Genomic DNA, 19,624 nt, shown 5'->3' on the forward strand with positions numbered 1-19,624 from the left:
CAAAGAGATATAGCTATATTTCTATTTTTAAATACAACTATTAAGCATTTTCTTCCAGTTCTTTCAAAAATATTTTTAGTACGTTTTAGCAAAGTTATAGACACTCATCATTTCATGTTAAAAGTTCTTTATTCCATGACATTTAACTAATGACCAGCCTATTTTCAGTTTGTGACATTTCAGTTAATCAGCATGTTGCATTCTCACTCTGTAACACTAAATAAAACACTAGAGTGGTTGTCAGAAGAAGACCTGCTCATGCATCCTTTTTATTAAAAATATATAATGTTTAGGAACATTCAGAGAATCTGTTCACCATGTTATTTTGCAATCCTCACAGGAAGACTAACAGTTTCCTCATATAATCAGCTTTAGGTTATTGAAAGTACACTGTGCAATACTGCCTTTATATATTTCTATTTAATTTACTCAACCAACTGTTTAATGAGCTTGTTATTTGGTTTATCTGTGTGGTCAGACATTCTCCCTACTTATCTCACTCCCTTTATTTAAAATTCTCCCTGTTTTAGATTTTGCAGAGAAAATAGAGACTATCAGGTGTAAATTCCCTCAACATCTTGTCTCTCATCAAACCAAACGTATGTGTACCTCTTTCCTGTATCAGAGGAAGAAGAGCCCCTCCTCCTATACAAGGCAAATTCATCTGGTATACTCTGGAATCCATCCTTGTCTCTGTCCTCAGGGATCTTTTGCAATCAGTTACCCCTAGATCTGTATCAGAGGCTCCACTTCTTCACTAGTTCTTCCCCTTAGCATATAAACATATTTAATCATTTCCTCACTTGGGTAAATTGTTTGGAAAGTAAATGTTCGTGCTAAGTAAGGGCAGAATTTGGAGGCTGTGGTGATAGGAGATCTGAGAATGAAGAAAGGACTTGGGTTTTATCATTGTCTATGATTCCATTTTCTCCAGTGTCTCTAGAGTACTTTAGTTCTTAAAATGTTGATGTTAGAAAGGAAATCATAGAACAAGGGGTACATTGATTCAGTATTTAGACCGAGAATGTGTATGTTCAATTCATAAAGGCTTGTTTCCCACTGTAAACCTAAGTGCCACTTGAAAAAAATGTTGCTCACTAAAATTGTCTATTTCATCACACGGATATATAACCCCGGAAGGGAATATTTCAAACAAAAATAAGAGTGAATTCTACATTAAATATTTTAATTAGCGAATAACATATCTGATATTTTCTAATTTGGTCTGTTGCATAATCACACAAAATCAGAGATTTAGAATGACTAATCACAACTCTGAAATTCATAAAATTAAATAAGTTGTATATTTTAACACAATATTTAATGAAAATCTAAGGATGGCTACAAAGACAATATTTTCCTTTACTGTTAGGAAACTACTGCTACGTCTGGTAACCTCTAAAAATAAAAGCAGTTTTTAAGATTTAACATTAATTTTGAATTGGGAATACATGTCTTATAGAATTTTCATAACTATGCTGCCAAGAATATATTCAGTTACCAGAAATGTGCATATACTTCTTTGATCTCTCTGGCAGGAAAAATGGTAGGGATCTAACAAGAGTATCATCCATTACTCGGGGAGGGATACCTGGGATTAAGGCAGAATAAAATATAGGACACTTAAGTACAGGCAGACAGACACACACACACACGTGTGCGCATGCATGCACACATCCAGAAATACCAGTTATTTTTACTGAGCAAGATTTTACTTATATGCATTTGTTTTGAGTATCCTTAGATTAATAATACCATTATGTATCTATAACACTGTGGTAATTAAAGTTAAGCTTACAAATCAAAGTTTCCCTACTCAAAAATTGATTTTAAAATTAGGGTATGTTGCTACCAGTTGGTTAAGATGATTACATTTGATTAGTCTTGCGGTTTCTGGTACAAATGTAAGTTTATAAAGTAATGGGTAAATACCATAGAAACATTCATTAATTTATCAAATCTTTATTTTTGGTTTCTCTTTTGAGACAGGGTCTCACTCTGTTGCCCAGGCTGGAGTGCAGTGGCGTGATCATAGCTCACTGCAGCCTCAAACTCCTGGGCTCAAGCAATCCTCCTGCCTCAGCCTCCCAAGTAGCTGGGACTACAAGCACATGTCACCATGCCTGGCTAAGTTTTTAATGTTTTGTAGAGACAAGGTTTTGCTATATTGCCCAGGCTGGTCTCAAACTCCTGGCCTCAAACGATCCTCTCACCTTGGCATCCCAAAGTGCTGGGATTACAAGTGTTAGCTACTACTCCTAGCCTATCTAATCTTCCTTACACTTGTTTAGATTTTCATCCTGCACAACAACTTGGATGAATAATGCCATAAATTCATTATTCACTAGTTAAACGAATGCTGATTATTCCCAAAATTAAAGTCAATTGTTCTAGTGATTCAAGATTTCCAAAACAATTCCATTATTGTTATCCTCATAATTTAGTAAGTTTGTATCAAGTAGATTTCCAACCTAGAGTCATCATCTTTTCGGTTCATCTCTGTTAATCAATGAAATGGTCCTTCCTTATTTATATTTGCATATACTTTGTATATAACCAGTTAAGATGAAAATAATCTAGTTTTATTTTTTCAACATAATTTCTTTGCATATATCTCAAGATTAAAAACTGTAACATACAGAATCTCAACATATTGAGCTATATTTCTTTAAACTCCAGAAACATCAACTATAATTAGAACCTTAAAATACACTAATTTAAATACAGGTTCTGGGTGATATAAATTGTAAAAACTTTTAATTGAAGAATTCTGCATCATGAATATAACTTTATCAAAAAGATAAAAACTCAAAGAGTCACTGAAAAATTCTAAGCATGGAGTAACATCACTAATCTGCATATAAACCTTTATACCAGTTTTAATACTCTTTCAGAAAACATCATGGAAAGTTATGCAAAATAAAGTTCAGATAAAAACTGGTGAACACAGTAAGAAATTATATAGTATACTTGATATTCTTTCCAATTTTTCCTCTCCCCGCTAGATTCCATATGTAAAGATTTATGTACAATATTCAGCATATGGTGAGAAAGTAAGTTAAAGAAACATCATAGACCCCATGTTGGTGACTGTCTTTACCAAAAGCATGTTACTCGGGCCTCAGAGTAAAGTTTAACTCCTCCTACTTCAGTCCATCAGATACTTAAGAATATCTCTATGGTCCAGCCTTCTTCTCCAGTCACATTGCTACATTCCTGTTAAACCCATTTCTTGCTCCCTTAGCTAACGTAACGTTCACCTAATGACGACCCTACTTTTGGTCTCCTCCAATCCTTTCTGCACACTGCTGCCTGCGTGAGCTTCCCCTAATGGGTTCATACCTTTCCCATACTTAAATATCTTTCAATGGCTTTTCGTAGCCTTTTAGAAGAGTCTGAGCTTTGACAGTAGTTGCAGTTTTCTGCATAAGCCAGGCTTCCACATTTCTACACCTCTGTCTGTTCCTATAAGGGGCTTTCTAATCCCCGGTCCTCTCCTGCATCCATTCCAAATATCAGAGCTCAGTACCCTCACCTTTGGGGTTAGGTGCCCTTCTTTTGTTCTCCAAAGCACCCCTATGATGTTTTCATAGAATTTTCCAACAATAATCATAATTGTCTGGTTACTTCTTTATTCCCTCTAAATTACCTTTATCATGCACAGTAGCTGGCACATAGTGATTGCTCAGTGAATCGTTTTGAGGTTAATTCATTTATTCACTCACATAATAGTTTTTAAGAGCCCACTGAATTCTCTTTTGTCTACAAAATAAGACAAAACAAAATGACCACTCAGTGAGCACTCAAAACAAAATAAGATAAAAATGCATACCCCTGGACTTCATATACTAGTGAATGTAGTAAGACAGTAAACAAATAAAATATAAAATTGTGTCAGGTGGTAACTGCTAAAGCAAAGAGGGGGATATGGATTGTGAGAAGTAGATGGAATAGTTTAAATTGTGTGTGTGGTGGGGGCGGGGCGGTCATTTAGTGAAGCTCTCAGTGATAAAGAGGTCAGGAAAAGAGCCATGCATATAGAAGGGGGAAGAATATTCCAGGCAAGGGAAGAGCAAATGCAAACACCAAGAGTTGGGCACATGCTAAGTGTGTTCAAAGAACACCAAGTAGGCTATCAGTGAGTAAGTAGGAGATGGGGATACAAACAGGGAAGAACAATTGTATGTGTATGGCCTTGTAGGTGCTTGTAAGCACAATGATGTTTACTTTGAGTAGGATAAAATTTACAGAAATGAATAAATGGATACTTAAAGCAAATCAGGTTTTTTTATTTTTTAAACTTTAGACAATAGTGTCTCAACACAGAAATGGCAGGATTTTTCACCCTTTTGTTCACCTGACTCATTCTAACATTGCTGGCCTATTCTAATAGCCTCCAGATTAGCTCTAATTGCAAGCGTGAGTGGAGGAATTCAGGTCATGACTTCCATATGAATACAGCAAAGCCAAAATCATCCAAATTACATGGTATCATTAACAATGAGAGTGTTGTGTATGTGTATGTAGGCCTAAGGTCCCTAATGCACTTCAGAAAACAATTACGCAAACAGTAGATAGAATTATCAACCCAAGTAAATCTTCAAAGTAGGCTGTTAAGAAAAGAATGACTCTGTGACCATTATGTGTTGGCTGTACTTTCCAGTTTGTGAACAAAAAAATAACACAGAAAGACACATCATGAGATGGAAAAAAATTAATGAATTTTTCTGACACTACTGATGTTAGCACAAATTTGATTGAGGTATTAATTACTTAAACAGGATGCTGAGTTCCTAAATGATGTGCTTTAGGATGCCTCTTGGGACATGTTTTAAGGCAAGTTCTGGTTGCCTGCTATTAGGAAATGATGTAGGGGGCGGACACAGTTCCTGTTCTGTCCCTGATGACTAACAGTAAAATTTGAAGCTCTGAGAGCTGCTGGTCATTTCTGGACACAAGAATATACAACTAGCTTCTGTAATAAAAAACACAGGGAACAAAAAAGAGGTGGTCCATCTGTGAAGGGGAGGATAAAAGCCCAAAACTATTAAGCCATTTAAAATTATTTCCTTTTTAAGAATTTTTCCACGATTTAATAAAAGTTAGGCAAAATGAAGAAAATACTTTTAAAAGTCTAGTTCCAAAGGGAAGAATGATAACACGTATACTCTAACTTATGGAGTCATAAAACATTAGTACCAGACTTTCTCAAGGGTTTGGTACAACAGACTTTAATTACAATTTTTTGAAAGATATTAACCTGGTGAAATGCATCACAAGATCACAAAATACATAAACTTGGTTTATAAAGAGTAAGAGGAAATTTATCTTACTTAAGAAGGAATCATTTAAGATGCATGTATATAAAATGCCATGTTCTGCTTGGATGTTTGATGTGGGAAGGTTAAGAAACATAAACTCTAGCCACTATTATATGTACGTCTGGAGTGTAATTCAATTGATGTTTTACAAGATTTGGATTTCATAGCTTAAGTGTGTGGAAATGCCAACTAGAAACTGTTGGGAAATGTTTAGAATATAAGAGAGTGCACTGCAATGTTTTCAATGTAAAAGCCAGTGATTTAGTTGAAGTGGGTATGAAGGAACACAGTATAAACAAGAGCAGAGCAAGACAGTGCTGAGAAGGGAGAGCCTCATCTCTCGTTTCAAGTCTTTCATGGATCCTGTCTTCAGTCACACTTCATCATTTATATTTTCCCAAGAAGTCCATATCCTTCTCCGATCAGTCTTCATGTGAAGTTCTTAATCATTCTTCAAGGCCCAGTGGTCATAACTCACTTCCTTTGTGAGCCTTCTCCAGCACACCCAGACAAAGCTTGTTTTTTTCCTTTGTGTTTCTTTAGCACATTTCAACTGGCTATATTTTAACATATTTACCTATTTTAAAAATCCACTTGACTAAAAATCCACTTCCTCAGGCCATATATTTCACATCGTCAGCACCTAGATTAGTGCCTAACACATAAATAATTATTGACTAAATGGAAAAAATGAATGAATGAATTTAAAAATTATTAAATTATGTTTAGCGGCTTTCCACCATTATTTCAACACTCATATTACCATACCTCTATCACTGGAAAGAGTTCCCAGTTTGAGGCAGTTGTTCTGTTTAAGTATCTGAGATTTTTGTTTCCGTAATATCACCCCATAATTTCTATTATTTGAAAAAGTTCCTCTACAACCCAGAGCCTGTTACGAAGATGGCATGTCATTATATTTATTCATGAGCATTTGATGAAAAAAAGTTCTACATGCAGTAATTATTTTTTAAAAGAGTAAATTCTTTTTGACTTCTCTATCTCATGTGCTGAATTTTTGAGGAAAATATTAAGCCAGGATGATTCATTTATTGGTGTTTCTCAAAATCATGAGGCTATGACCTCTTTAAGGGAGGTCTCTTAAAGCTCAGGAAATTAAAGAAGTAATACATTTTTCTCACCACTTGACAAAACCAGAACCCAAGACTAAATATTGAGCATTATATACCATAGATTAAAGATAAATCTAGGTATATAAAAATCTATTTTTGATCAGATTCCAAAACAGAGACTCTATATTACCTCTTGCCAGATATCCACACTAAAATTAGCTCACTCCAGCCCTTCTAAATATTTAATAAATTGCTTCGTATTGCTAAACCCAAAATGGAAATGATCCGAAAAGAAAGAAAAATTAACAGGCTTCTTTGCCCTCTGTGATTAAACATACTTCCCTCGAGTACTATAAAGGAAACAAATTTATGGTTCACAAAGGCCTATCACCCTACACTACACTCAGTAAAAAATATTTCCATTGAGCAGTGTAAGTGCTTTTCCTATTTTAAATCAACAATGCTGAGAAACACTGGCTGCTAGAATTTAAATAACTCATGATTCACAGAAAAAGTTCTTAAATTTAAGATTATAATATATAGTCATATCCTATTCAGATCTGTTTTCTACCTAGATGGATCTGCACTGTCTATTAATAACAGAACTTTCTTTAATGACAGAAACATTCTATATTGGTCAATCCAGTAGGATAGCCACCAATCACATATGGCTACTGAGCACCTGAAATGTGGCCAGTACAATATTTAGACACTGAATTTTTAATTTTATTTATTTATGTATTTATTTATGTATTTATTTATGTATTTATTTATTTATTTCTACAGGGACTCACTTTATCACCCAGGCTGGAGTGCAGTGGCATGATCTCGACTTCCTACAACCTCTGCCTCCACCTTCCAGCCTCAAGCGATCCTCCTGTCTCAGCCCCATAAGTAGCTGGGACTACACGCATGAGCCACCAAGACTAATTTTTGTTTTTGTTTGTTTGTTTTGTAGAAATGGGTTTTCACCATGTTGTCCAGGCTGGTCTCAAACTCCTGAGCTCAAGTGATCCACCCACTTCGGCCTCCCAAAGTGCTAGAATTATAGGCATGAGCCACAGAGCCTGGCCAACCTTAAATTTAAAGAGCCATATGTAGCTAATGGTGACTGCATTGAACAGTGCAGATCTAGACAATAGAACACCCAAGACTGAAATCAGGTGAACTGGATTCTAGCCTGGTTCTGCCGTTAACTATTTTGTAACCTTGGCTGTTTCCTTTTCACTCTGATGCTGTTCTGTGAAATGCTAAGCTAAATGATTTCTAAGATTTCTTCTAAACCTTTTATATCCTACTTAATAAACAGCCATATGGTGTGACTAGAAATTGGTTGTTTCTTTTTTGTTTTGTTTTGTTTTGTTTTGAGACCAAGTCTCGCTCTGTCACCCAGGCTGGAGTGCAATGGTGCGACTTTGGCTCACTGCAACCTCTGCCTCCCAGGTTCAAGTGATTCTCCTGCCTCAGCCTCCAGAGTAGCTGGGACTACAGGCACCTCCCACCATGCCTGCTAATTTTTTCTATTTTTAGTAGAGACAGGGTTTCACCATGTTGGCCAGGCTGGTCTCAAACTCCTGACCTCAGGTAATTCACCCACCTCGGTCTCCCAAAGTGCTGGGATTGCAGGCATGAGCCACCGCGCCCGGCTGGTGTGACTAGAAATTGATGCAATTACTTTTCCATTGTCCTCATGAAAATCATCCTTTTAGTTATAACGTGCATATTTATAAGCACACATATACTCCAAATAATCTATAAGACATATATAAATATAAAAAGATGCAGGCTGGGCGTGGTGGCTCACACCTGTAATCCCAGCACTTTGGGAGGCCCATGCAAGAGGATTGCTTGAAGCCTGGGCAATACAGCAAGCCTCCATCTCCATAAAACATAAAAATTAAAACATCTGGGTATGGTGGTGCATGCCTTAGTCCTAGCAACTTGGGAGGCTGAGGCAGGAGGATTCCTTGAACCCAGGAGTTTGAGGCTGAGGTGAGCTGTGATCATGCCACTGCACTGCAGGCCAGGTGACAGAGCAAGACCCTGTCTCTAAAACAACAAAACAAAACAAAAGAAGAAAAATAAGAGCAATTTTGTGTAATTCTGTTGAATTTATCCTACCCAATCCTACCCTTGGGGCATAATGACATGACATCAATTGGGAGAAAAACATAAAGCTAATTTCTTTTTATTAGAGCCTGATTTATTAATTGATTAACTCATATCACTCAGTCACTCTTATTATTAAACACACTAAGTACCAATAACTATTATATGATGTGACAAATGCTGTGGAGAAGGGGAGAAGACAGCTTCTAACTTAGCTTGGGGGAGTGTGAAAGTGTATGCATGTGTGAGGTTTCCTCAAAGGAGGTGACCAAGCAGAAGTCTATATCTTTTTTAAGGTTCCACTCAGACACATGGATCCTGAACTTCCCTTAGATCTGGCAAGGAGGCTTTTGTCTTGTGCCCATGCTTTAAAAGGCTTTTTTCTGGTTGTGCTTCCCAGGGGGTTAGGAATCTGTGGGTCTAAGAGAACATGCTCATCTCTATACATACCCTCCACCCTCAGCCCTACCACCCCACCCAGCCACCTGACCTTCAGGTACTAAGGACTCCAGAATTCTCTGCCCCAATGACTTGAGCTCACTACAAAGACTATGTGTTGCCTCTTCCCAGGCCTGTTCTTCTGAAGGTAAACCATACCACTGGTGTGCACCACAACAAATTGGAAGAGAAGGCAAAGAGGTGGGTATTTTGAGGGGGATAGATGAAATTTGGTCCTGTGAGCATTCAAGAACCTTTATAAAGTTAGAGGCTGAGTCTTATAAAGTTGAAGAATGGAGGAAGGTGTGGGAGAGAAGGGAAGCAGGCCAAGGACAGGGCTAGGGCTAGTTACAGCTCTCCTCGTGCCACCACACTGTGGCTTTGAACTCCAAGGAGTGCAAGAATTCTGGATTTGAACTTTCCAAGTCATCATGAGAATATATCTGTAAAGGTTGGGGGATAGAACATATTTTACTGAACAGTTTTATTAGGTTGGTTTATAACTTAAATATTTAGACACTTTGTATAAGGACTCCCATTTTTCCTCTTGCCCTAAAACTTGTACATTTGCCCTAAGTCTGCAAATGTAAAGCACAAACAGATTTAACTCTGTTTTTAAAAATTTCTTCTTTATCTAATGATGAAATATGAGAATTTGATAAGACAGATCAATTATAACTTGGTTAATATTCTCATACAAGAGTCACTTATTTTGCTTCAGTAGAGCTAGAATAAGCTGGATTCTACAGTTACAAGAAGTGACAACTAGATAAGTTGATTATGGTTTTGGAGAAGGAGACAATTTTTAAGACTTTCTTCTATTCAAAACTTAGCATATGACTGTTCATTGCTTTTAATTATTTACAGAACATATATAACAGATACATATAATATGCATCTGTGCATTCATAATAGAAACAGAGTAGGATGACGGGACTTTAGAGTTGGAAGGGAAATCATGCCGTTTAGTTTCACCATTCTTTACAGATGAGGAATCTAAGGCCTAGATACCTTAATTTGTCCAAATGATAGAGCTTATTAGACCTTGAGCTGGAGCCACTGTAAAAATAGTTAATAATAGAGCTGATTCACAGCCTAGAGGTCAATAAGGAAAACAAAATTAAGTAATGAGAGAGGAATACAGACAGAGTCATCTACTCAGCTGTTGAGACTGTCTTTCTGCTACATAATCATGCTTCTAGATCACTGTTGAAAATGCTCCCCAAGATGACATTTTGTTTCTAGGAGACAGAACCAGCTTCAAAGGAAAGTCAAATGTTCCTTCCTATCACCTCACTAGGTGACCTTTAGACACCTCTGGAGAAGTCTGTGCACGTAGGAATCAACACAGAGCAGGTCCCCCCAGCCTGGGGAGACACAGCTCCACTGTGTTGATTCTATGGCAGGACTCCCTGGAAGGGGTGGTGGGGCAGCACCAGAAATAGAAGGCATCACTTGTCTACTTTTTCTGGTCCCTTTGAAAAACAGCACTACAGGCTCTGGGCAAAAGTACCAAGGAGGTGGGAAGAGCCCTGCAGGTGTGCCATTTATATGTACTTCATGGACAATCAGATTAAGGGAGGCTGATAAAGCATTAGAATGGTTGCTAAGGCATCTCAGCAGGCAGTGTGCACAACTGAAGGACATGCAGTTTTACCAAACAAGATTTTGTTGCAAAATCTAGTCTAATAACTAACTACAATAAGATGATTTCAGTCATTTTTGTTATTTGTGATTTGAAGGTTTGGGGGTCTTGCTTCCTCTGCCAGATCCAAATCAGGAAGTCTGCTGTTGTCTTCAGTGTCTGCCATCTGCTGATCAAGATAGCAGGCAGATCAAAGCACAGTGAAGGAAAGCCATGAGTTTTATGAAATCCATGGGATAGCAATGCATTATAAATTGAACATATTTAAAGTAAACCTTCACATACTGGGTATTTCAATTTTATTTTAAATGCAACAGAAACATTTTCATGCTTACGTTATTAACTAATATTTTAAAAACATTATATTCACTTCACCCAAATGTATTAAATGTGTTTGCAGGTAAAATTAAAATAAACTAAAAGTATCTGTAAACTGTTTGGACAAAAGTCCAAATTTCACTTTAAGGCACCACAACAGCAAATATTTCTGAGTTTTGAACTCTCAGATACCACTACGGCCCAATGAGGAACACTTTAAGTATTCTTATAATTCAGTAGAAGATAAATGAATACGTTATGGAGTTTATATATATTTAGGGGAGGAGAAGAAAGGAATAAAGAGTTTCAGAACAGGAAAGTGATTTGGTTTTTGAAACCTTGGATATAGACAATTTGGAACAAAAAATAATATACATGAAACTGGAGCAATTTGGTATATTTTTTTCAATACCGTCTATCTTTCATGCTTTTGAAAATTTCTGCATCTGTCAAAGAAAGAAACAGCAAGAACATCGAAAGGAAAGATACCTTTTAAAATACTGTTTTAACAACGATTTGAATCTCTGAAGAACTGAAAGATAAAGATAATTTGTGCTAGGATTCAGAACTTGATCACTTCCAATTATGGTCATTCCTTTGTTTCATTCTTGGGTCTAGTTTTATAAGATACAGCAGCTCTCTCCTTATTTAGATGGAGTCAAATTTATTTAAGTGCAAAATCTGGGTTTTAAAAGCTCATCCTGAACTTCTTGGAAACCCAAAGGTCATGTTTACAGAATAGATGCATGGCAGGATTAAATCAATGTGGAACTGCGTGAGCTGCAGGTTTTCTTTTTTATTCTATCATAGATGCTGTTAATCGTCAGATGATTACTTCTGCAATATAAACTATATATCTTAGATTATGAAAACTAATTCCCTACCTGAGACACTCATGCAGTTTTGCAAGAGCTAATTTTAGATTGTTTCTAGCTTCTTCATTTCATCATCAGAGACATTTTAAATTTATAACAACTCTCTAGTGCCTCTTAAGGCCCTTATGTAAGCAAGCACTCCTCCATGACACAAACCAACAAATGTAGTGGGGTTTACATAATGTGAAAAAGATGAGAATAGTGGTATTTATTATCTTTTGTTTGTCTTAATAAGTGGGCGAGAAGGAGAATGTTATGAAAAATTAATAATGTAAGATGATATGATATTTAGGAGAAGAAAGCTAAAACAACAACAACTACAAATAGGACAAAAGCAATAAATTACACTCTTAATTGCACTATTTGACATGTTGTAATTTAATTGGTAGCTATTATTCAACTATTCTTAGCCCTTACATTTCTTAGAGCAGCCTTTCTGTATGCCAAGTTATATCACTAGACATTTGTTTTAATAGTAGTACTTCTCAATTATGGAACCCTTTGTGGTTCATAAAACATTTCATATTATCATTTCACTTGCTTCTCACCATAACCCAGTGAGACAGGTAGAACAGGAATTATTACCTACATTTTATAGATCAGTAAAAAGGATCACAGACTATAGTCATACACCACTAAGTAGTTCTAAAACCGGAACTACTTTTCTCCCTACCAGATTTCAAGTTCACAGACACACACACACACACACACACACACAATGTGTGAAAGAAAATTTCTAAGTTTCTAAGAAAAATTTCCTCCTCACGATTCCTCAAGGATCTAGAACTAGAATTACCATTTGACCCAGTAATCCCATTACTGGGTATATACCCAAAGGATTATAAATCATGCTACTATAAAGACACATACACACGTATATTTATTGCGGTACTATTCACAATAGCAAAGACTTGGAGCCAACCCAAATATCCATCAATGATAGACTGGATTAAGAAAATGTGGCACATATACACCATGGAATACTATGCAGCCATAAAAAAGGATGAGTTCATGTCCTTTGCAGGGACATGGATGAAGCTGGAAACCATCATTCTCAGCAAACTATCACAAGGACAGAAAACCAGACACTGCATGTTCTCACTCATAGGTGGGAATTGAACAATGAGATCACTTGGACACAGGGCGGGGAACATCATACACCGGGGCCTGTTGGGGGGATGGGGGGCTGGGGGAGGGATAGCATTAGGAAAAATACCTAATGTAAATGATGAGTTGATGGGTGCAGCAAAACAACATGGCACATGTATACCTATGTATCAAATCTGCACATTGTGCACATGTACCCTAGAATTTAAAGTATAGTAAAAATAATAATAAAAGAGAAAAAAAGAAAAATTTCCTCCTCATGAAAATTGCAGTTATATTTCTAGTATCCTCTTCTCTCTTTGATATGAGTTAAAATATACAGGTGCTATTCAAGTTAACAAATCATGATTTCTTTTTAAAAAGATAGATTTTTAGATTGGAGAAATACTTCATGTTAAGCAAACATAAAATATAGAAATTCAGTTTGCTGAGGAGAAGAATTAGGGGATTACACTGATTTACAGAAAGATTCTGAATAGGATTTCTTTAAACAGCAAAATTCCCTGGCACATTCAAAATATGTTGATTTAAGAAAATCTGATTTATACAAAACTTTACAGGAATACATCTGTTATATAAATCTACACTCACCTGTAATTTACTTTAGAGAGAACAATTGAGTGATAATAATAATAACATACTCATATAGCTCTTCATTATATGTTTTAAAGTGCTTTCCCCTAATTTATTGCTTTGTCTTTGGCAACCTTTTAAGGCAGTCAGAGAGGGTATTATTATCCCTCCTTCACAGATGAGAAATTGAGAGGTTAAGTGACTTGCCCAAGGTCAGACGGACATTCATTCATTTACTGCTATCAGAATGATGTAGTTTTAACGGGGTAGTCAAGGAAATATGGTTCTTCCTCCTATTTTTTTAAACAAGCTGTGAAAGCCATTAAAAGAGGTAGATGATCTCACAAATATAATGTTGAATGAAAGAAGCCAGACACAAAAGTGTACATACTGTAGGATTCGATTACTATAAAATTCAAATGTAGGCAAAACTAAAGTATAGTGACAGAAGTCAGGGTGGAGGCTACCTCTGGGATGGCAACTGGGGGTAAAGAAGGGTTTAAGATAATGTCCTTGTTCTTGATCTGGTTTGTACATAGTTTTGTTCACTTGGTGAAAATTCACTGGGTTATGCACTATAATTTGTCACTTTTCTTTATATACATTAAAGAGGTTTTCTCTTTGAAAAGAATCGTACATCTTTAAAAACAGTAATTTTTAAATGCCATTTAGATCACTTAATATATATATCCTTGAAACATTTGTCATTTTCATTGTTTCTTAAATGCATTTAAAAAATAACACGAACTAAATCCTAAGAGTTTAAAGAGTCAAGAAAAGTTTGTAGAAAAAAAAAACCAGTATTGTTTCACCTGAGAAAGTTTTGATATGAAATGAGAATTGGAGCACACTAAGATAATAATGCAAGTGATTTAGGATCAGGTCAAACATTTGTATTTAACTATGTCAAACTGGGAATAGTAAGCAAATGAGATTATATTGTTATTCACATAGTATATCCTAGAGAGCATATGTAATATGTAAGAGAGAATTCCTTGAGTAGAAGATAAGAATTTTTAAAAAATATATCCATTTTATTTTAGAACATTGTATATTAGGATGCTGTGTTGGGTATCAGGGAAAAAAGCCAATGCCAGTGATAAAAATCTGAGTAGTCTGTGCACACCTGGGGACAAACAAAGGCTCCTGAGAAGCCCACATAGCTTTCGATATAAGAATATACGGGGAAGAATGTGTTTTCACCATTTTCCAAGACAAAAATTACATGTACCTTCAATTGCTTAAATTAATTTCAAAATTTTATTGCAGTTCTCCCAGAATTCTTCATACTCTATAACTCCATACCACTGAGAGCTAATGCTGCACTTGTATGCATTTACCACTGATGACAAAGGTTTTGTTTAAGTTTTACATATGGACTTTTTTCCGTTCCTTCCACTTTTTTCTTTTTTAAACAAAAACCATTATAGCACCAAAAATTATCTGTATTGGGCACGGTGGCTCACGCCTGTAATCCCAGCACTTTGGGAGGCCGAGGCAGGTGGATCACAAGGTCAGGAGATCAAGACCATCCTGGCCAACATGGTGAAACCCCGTCTCTACTAAAAATACAAAAATTAGCTGGGCCTGGTGGCACACACCTGTAGTGCCAGCTGCTCAGGAAACTGAGGCAGGAGAATCGCTTGAACCCAGGAGGTGGTGGTTGCAGTGAGCCGAGATCGCGCCACTGCACTCCAGCCTGGGTGACAGAGCAAGACTCTGTCTCAAACAAACAAACAAAAAAATTGTATCTTGATATTACAGGTCAGGAACAGAGAATTTCCAGGCAGTGAGTGAGATCTGGACCCAGAATGCTTTCATTTCACCAGGGATCCTGCAAAGGCAGCTGTACCTACAGCTGACTCCCCAGGAGAGCTGCTGAATACAATCCAAGCCCAAAGAAGCCTTGTTGATTCCTGACTCTATGCATTAGTTTCACTAGGACCTACCTGTTTCTTAAATATATATATATATATATATATATTTAGAGACAGGGTCTCACCGTGTTACCCAGGCTGGTCTCAAACTCCTGGGCTCAAGTGATCCTCCCCTCGCTGGCTTCCCAAAGTGCTAAGATTACAGGTATGAACCCCCGTGCCCAGCCTACCTTTTATACCTTGAACATCTGCATGCTGCATGCCAAACATTATGCAGGATGGAAAGTGTCAAGCTGATTGTGGTCACCTGCCAGCTCCCTGGCAATCTCTGGGCCCATTCCTTCAGTATCCAGGATGAGTGTGAGCCGTCCTCTGGCATTTGGGTTATTAGAGAATTACCCCGTGCTTCCCAATAGTGTTCACATCATAACATAGATTAGAAAGGCAGCTCAGGAGACAGACAGGAGGGGACAGGAAGAGGTAGGTTGAAGGAATTCTACTCTTCCCGAGCCACCAACCTAACCAAACATTTTTTCTACCAGCAAAAGATAAACAATTCATGGGGAACTGGGACCTGTGTGTCTATGAGTAAGTCCATGTGGAATCATTTCAGGACCATTTTTTTTTTTTAAATGACAGAGAACCAAAAGGCACAACGATTTTTCTCCGGGTAGAGATATTCAACAGTAGAAAAATTCTGAATCACTGTGCAAAGTTTGCTGTGCTAATTCATTTAGTCAGACCTGATCCCTTTGAAAATGGGATTTCTATTTCTATTTAAGCTAATAGGCATGCCCCTAAATTTAATCTCTCTTACAGCAGAGTCACTTAATTAATTCTCTCCTTTGACCTGCAGCATCTCTGTCGCTCCCCACACCTGGAATCTCTTTCTTTTTCTCCTGCAACAGCAATGTAGATATGTAGTCTTATGACCATTAGCATGTAGTAGGCCATATTACTTTTAACTTTTACTAATTTTCACTTTTTTATTATAGTCTGTCATATGACAGATACATTCATCACACATAATCTTGACCATAGTTGTAAACAACCAGGCTTAGTATAGAAAAAGATAAACTGAGATACTTGCCATCAAGCCTTGTTCTCCTGGCTTTCCTGGTTCACCCTTAAAAAAGAATAGTGATAATTTTAGTAACGCTGTAAGTATTTAAAAAAAAACCCTTCAATCATTTTTTCTTCTTTGACTGGGGCATGTAAATGTCAAATATATTTCTTCAGGTTAAATAGAGGAATGTAGCACATTAAAAGAGAGCTAATTTCCCTTCTACAAATAAACTTTACAAATTTAGGGTTTAATAAAATTAGTCTAGATTATCATGTCTTCTTTAGGATGACATAAAGATAATGACATGGTGTCTTTATGAGAACTCAGAACTTTCATACATAGGACAGAGAGACAATTGCTCTTAGTGCAGGTGTTTAATAAAATGAGCAGAGACTGATGTTAAATTTTGGTCTTCCTGGATTAATGACGGCTGAAGTAACATGTTTCATTAAATTTGATAGAGAAAATTACACTATATCATGACATTATCATTTTCTTATATTCAGATTGATATAGAATTATATTTTATTGTCATTATAATGACAGTCATTGGCTAAAAATATTTTTGTCTTAAATTGCCAATAAATATAGATATTGCTGGTCTTTCAAAATAAGTATTTCACAGTTTATTTTTATAGTCTTCTTCTAGCAAGGTATGATGACACATGCCTGTAATCTCAGCTATTTGGGAGGCTGAGGCAGGAGGACTGTGTGAGCCCAGGTCTTTAAGGCTATGATGTGCTATGACGGCGTCTGTGAATAGCCACTGCACTACAGCTTGGGCAACACAGCAAAGACCTCATTGCACACAAAAAAATCTTTTTCCACTTTGGGAGGCCGAGGTGGGCAGATCACGAGGTCAGGAGATCGAGACCATCTTGGCTAACATGGTGAAACCCTGTCTCTACTAAAAATACAAAAAAATTAGCCAGGCATGGTGGTGGGCACCTGTAGTCCCAGCTACTCAGAAGGCTGAGACAGGAGAATGGTGTGAACCCGGGAGGCAGAGGTTGCAGTGAGCGGAGATCACACCACTGCTCTCCAGCCTGGGTGACAGAGCGAGACTCCGTCTCAAAAAAAAAAAATCTTTTTCTAGCAGTCATCATAGTATATATAAATAAACTCTGAGACCATATACAGTTCAAGTTATATTTCTGAAAATTTTAAAACAAGTTAATTTGTCCTATGTGTAGAAAGCTCCATTTCTTACTTACATAAATAAACTATATTCATTTAAAGAATGATATAATTTTGGATTGTGTGGTTTGTCATACTTTACCTTTAATTTTGTTTTTAAAAAGTAATTTCTATCTTGAATTTCAGTATAGTATAGCATATAATGCTCAATGATCTGACTAATGTACCATCAAAATGGTTTTAACTACTTTTTGAAGAGACACTCACTGTATTTCTGTTGGCAACCAGCAATCAATGGGAGAGCTTTAAATATCCCTAAAGCTGTGGATCTCTCTACCTTTTGGAATATCATCATGAGAAAAAGCAAGGCATTAGAAGACAGTTACAGAATTCAACCACTGTCTTTGAAGGTTGAGTGAAAGCAGTCCTAACAACTAGCAAATCATATGTTGAAAGACAATTCCTCATTTTATATCAGCAAATTCACAGCAGCTTTCAGAAAGGGATATGGGCTTATGAGGCTGTCTCAGAAGTTTTAAAGTACGCTATATTCTCATAAAGAGTCATTCTTTTAAAAATGCATAAATATATGCATATAAAAATGAAAGAAAATATACCAAAACATTAATGAGTATTGTAAATATTGTAAACATTAATGAGTATGGTAAAAGAAAAAAATATTTTTTTCTTTTTGGTTTTATTTTCAAAAGTTTCTGCTTCGTGGATAAATATTTTCATTATTATTATGTACTACAAAAATACTATGAAAATAATTTGTTAAATAAATACATTGAATAAATAATTTAATCCAGTAATAAACCTTAATTTCTAGTCCTAAAGTCATAAAATAAATCTAAAATTTTTGACCTTTTCCATATATTTCTTTTAATTGCTGGGTTGCCTCTATGAAATCAAACCATTTATCTTCTGCCTTTTACTACTATATCATTGACACTTGACCAATCTTAGTAGCCAAGTATTGAGATTACTTTTAAATTATTTCTATGAATAAGCCTTACATACAAAAGACAAATGATATTTAAACCATACCCACTGATGTTTTAGCCATTCATTTTACGGTTATTAGCAATTTTGGGGGTTCACGTTATTTATAAGGGATTAAATATTAGAATATTTTACTTCCTCTACTTTCCATAAATAGTATAGGACTTTATTGGTCTGCTATTGAAACTTTGGAAAATGTTATTAGACTCCTACTTAGTTTTTCAGACTAATCTCCCATTTAAACCAAAGGCCCCGGTGCACACTACGGCAGTGAGGATACACCTGGGAATGGGCAACTCCAATCAAAGACTTCTTGAGGCTTACCTCAAAAACAGTTTAGTGGCTGCCTCCAGGTGTCTCTTGTGGTTTGCTTGGATTCCCAGTGTATTCAGTGGTAAAGAGGAATGCAGCTGGGAGTGCCCTGTGCTGCTTGGGGACTTTCCCATCATCTCACTTCCCTCAACCTACTCCACTCATCATCCCACTTCCCTCAACCCACTCCACTCACTTGACCCCCTGACCTGATGCCCCTCACCACCCTACTCCACCCTAGTTCTCAGCCCTTAACATGAAGCAAAACGTGTGAGAATAAGTGATCCAAAAAGCGACTCACGGGTACTCCTGGCATTCCACGGGGGCCATCTTTCCCTGTGTCCCCAGGTGGCCCTCTTGGGCCTGGAGGGCCAGGGGGTCCTGGAGGCCCTGCCTGTCCTTGGTCACCCTGTGATGGAGAAGGGAACAGACCAGCAATAACCATGAAAGATAAAGACCCAGGTCTTCTTTTCAGCACCTTAAATTTGTATTATCTAATTCACATTTACACTATGAAAAGAACCAGAACAACCACAAATATAAAGCCTGTAGGCAATTTGCTTCCCAGCAGGGAGCAAATAAATATTCATGCTGGGTGACTGAGTAGATGCTATTAAAATCAAAGCAGTTCAGGAACCAGCACTTCCAGTTCTTGGAAATAGTGTGTATGTTACCACTATAGTCAGAGCTGGTATAAAACGTGTGCATTACTTTATCCATAACAACACTGCATCAGTTACATTCACCTCATTTAATAAAATGGCTGCA

At 36.7% G+C, this 19,624-nt stretch overlaps 1 protein-coding gene across 11 annotated transcripts in view, besides 1 other annotated feature; it reads right to left on the reverse strand.

Annotated features, from left to right (window-relative positions):
• COL25A1 (collagen type XXV alpha 1 chain) overlaps positions 1–19,624 on the reverse strand; it is a 493,934-nt gene that overhangs the window by 112,657 nt on the left and 361,653 nt on the right. For 10 of the 11 annotated variants that reach the window (XM_011532335.3, XM_011532334.3, NM_198721.4 and 7 more), the window contains 2 exons: positions 19,158–19,265; positions 16,427–16,462 (listed from right to left, as the gene is read on the reverse strand). The exons of the other annotated variant lie outside the window; for it this stretch is intronic. In XM_011532335.3, the coding sequence (XP_011530637.1) occupies positions 16,427–16,462; positions 19,158–19,265 (144 nt within the window). The remainder of the gene's footprint in view (positions 1–16,426; positions 16,463–19,157; positions 19,266–19,624) is intronic. 11 annotated transcript variants of the gene reach the window in all.
• Positions 10,202–10,806: an enhancer, noted in NCBI's record as "OCT4-NANOG hESC enhancer chr4:109852739-109853343 (GRCh37/hg19 assembly coordinates)". NCBI's record gives its function as "activates a minimal SCP1, AML or CMV promoter by ChIP-STARR-seq in naive H9 embryonic stem cells {active_cell/tissue: H9 hESC(naive)}" and the evidence as "EXISTENCE:reporter gene assay evidence [ECO:0000049][PMID:30033119]".

This window comes from Homo sapiens, chromosome 4, assembly GCF_000001405.40.
Source record: "Homo sapiens chromosome 4, GRCh38.p14 Primary Assembly".
Taxonomy (NCBI): domain Eukaryota; kingdom Metazoa; phylum Chordata; class Mammalia; order Primates; family Hominidae; genus Homo; species Homo sapiens.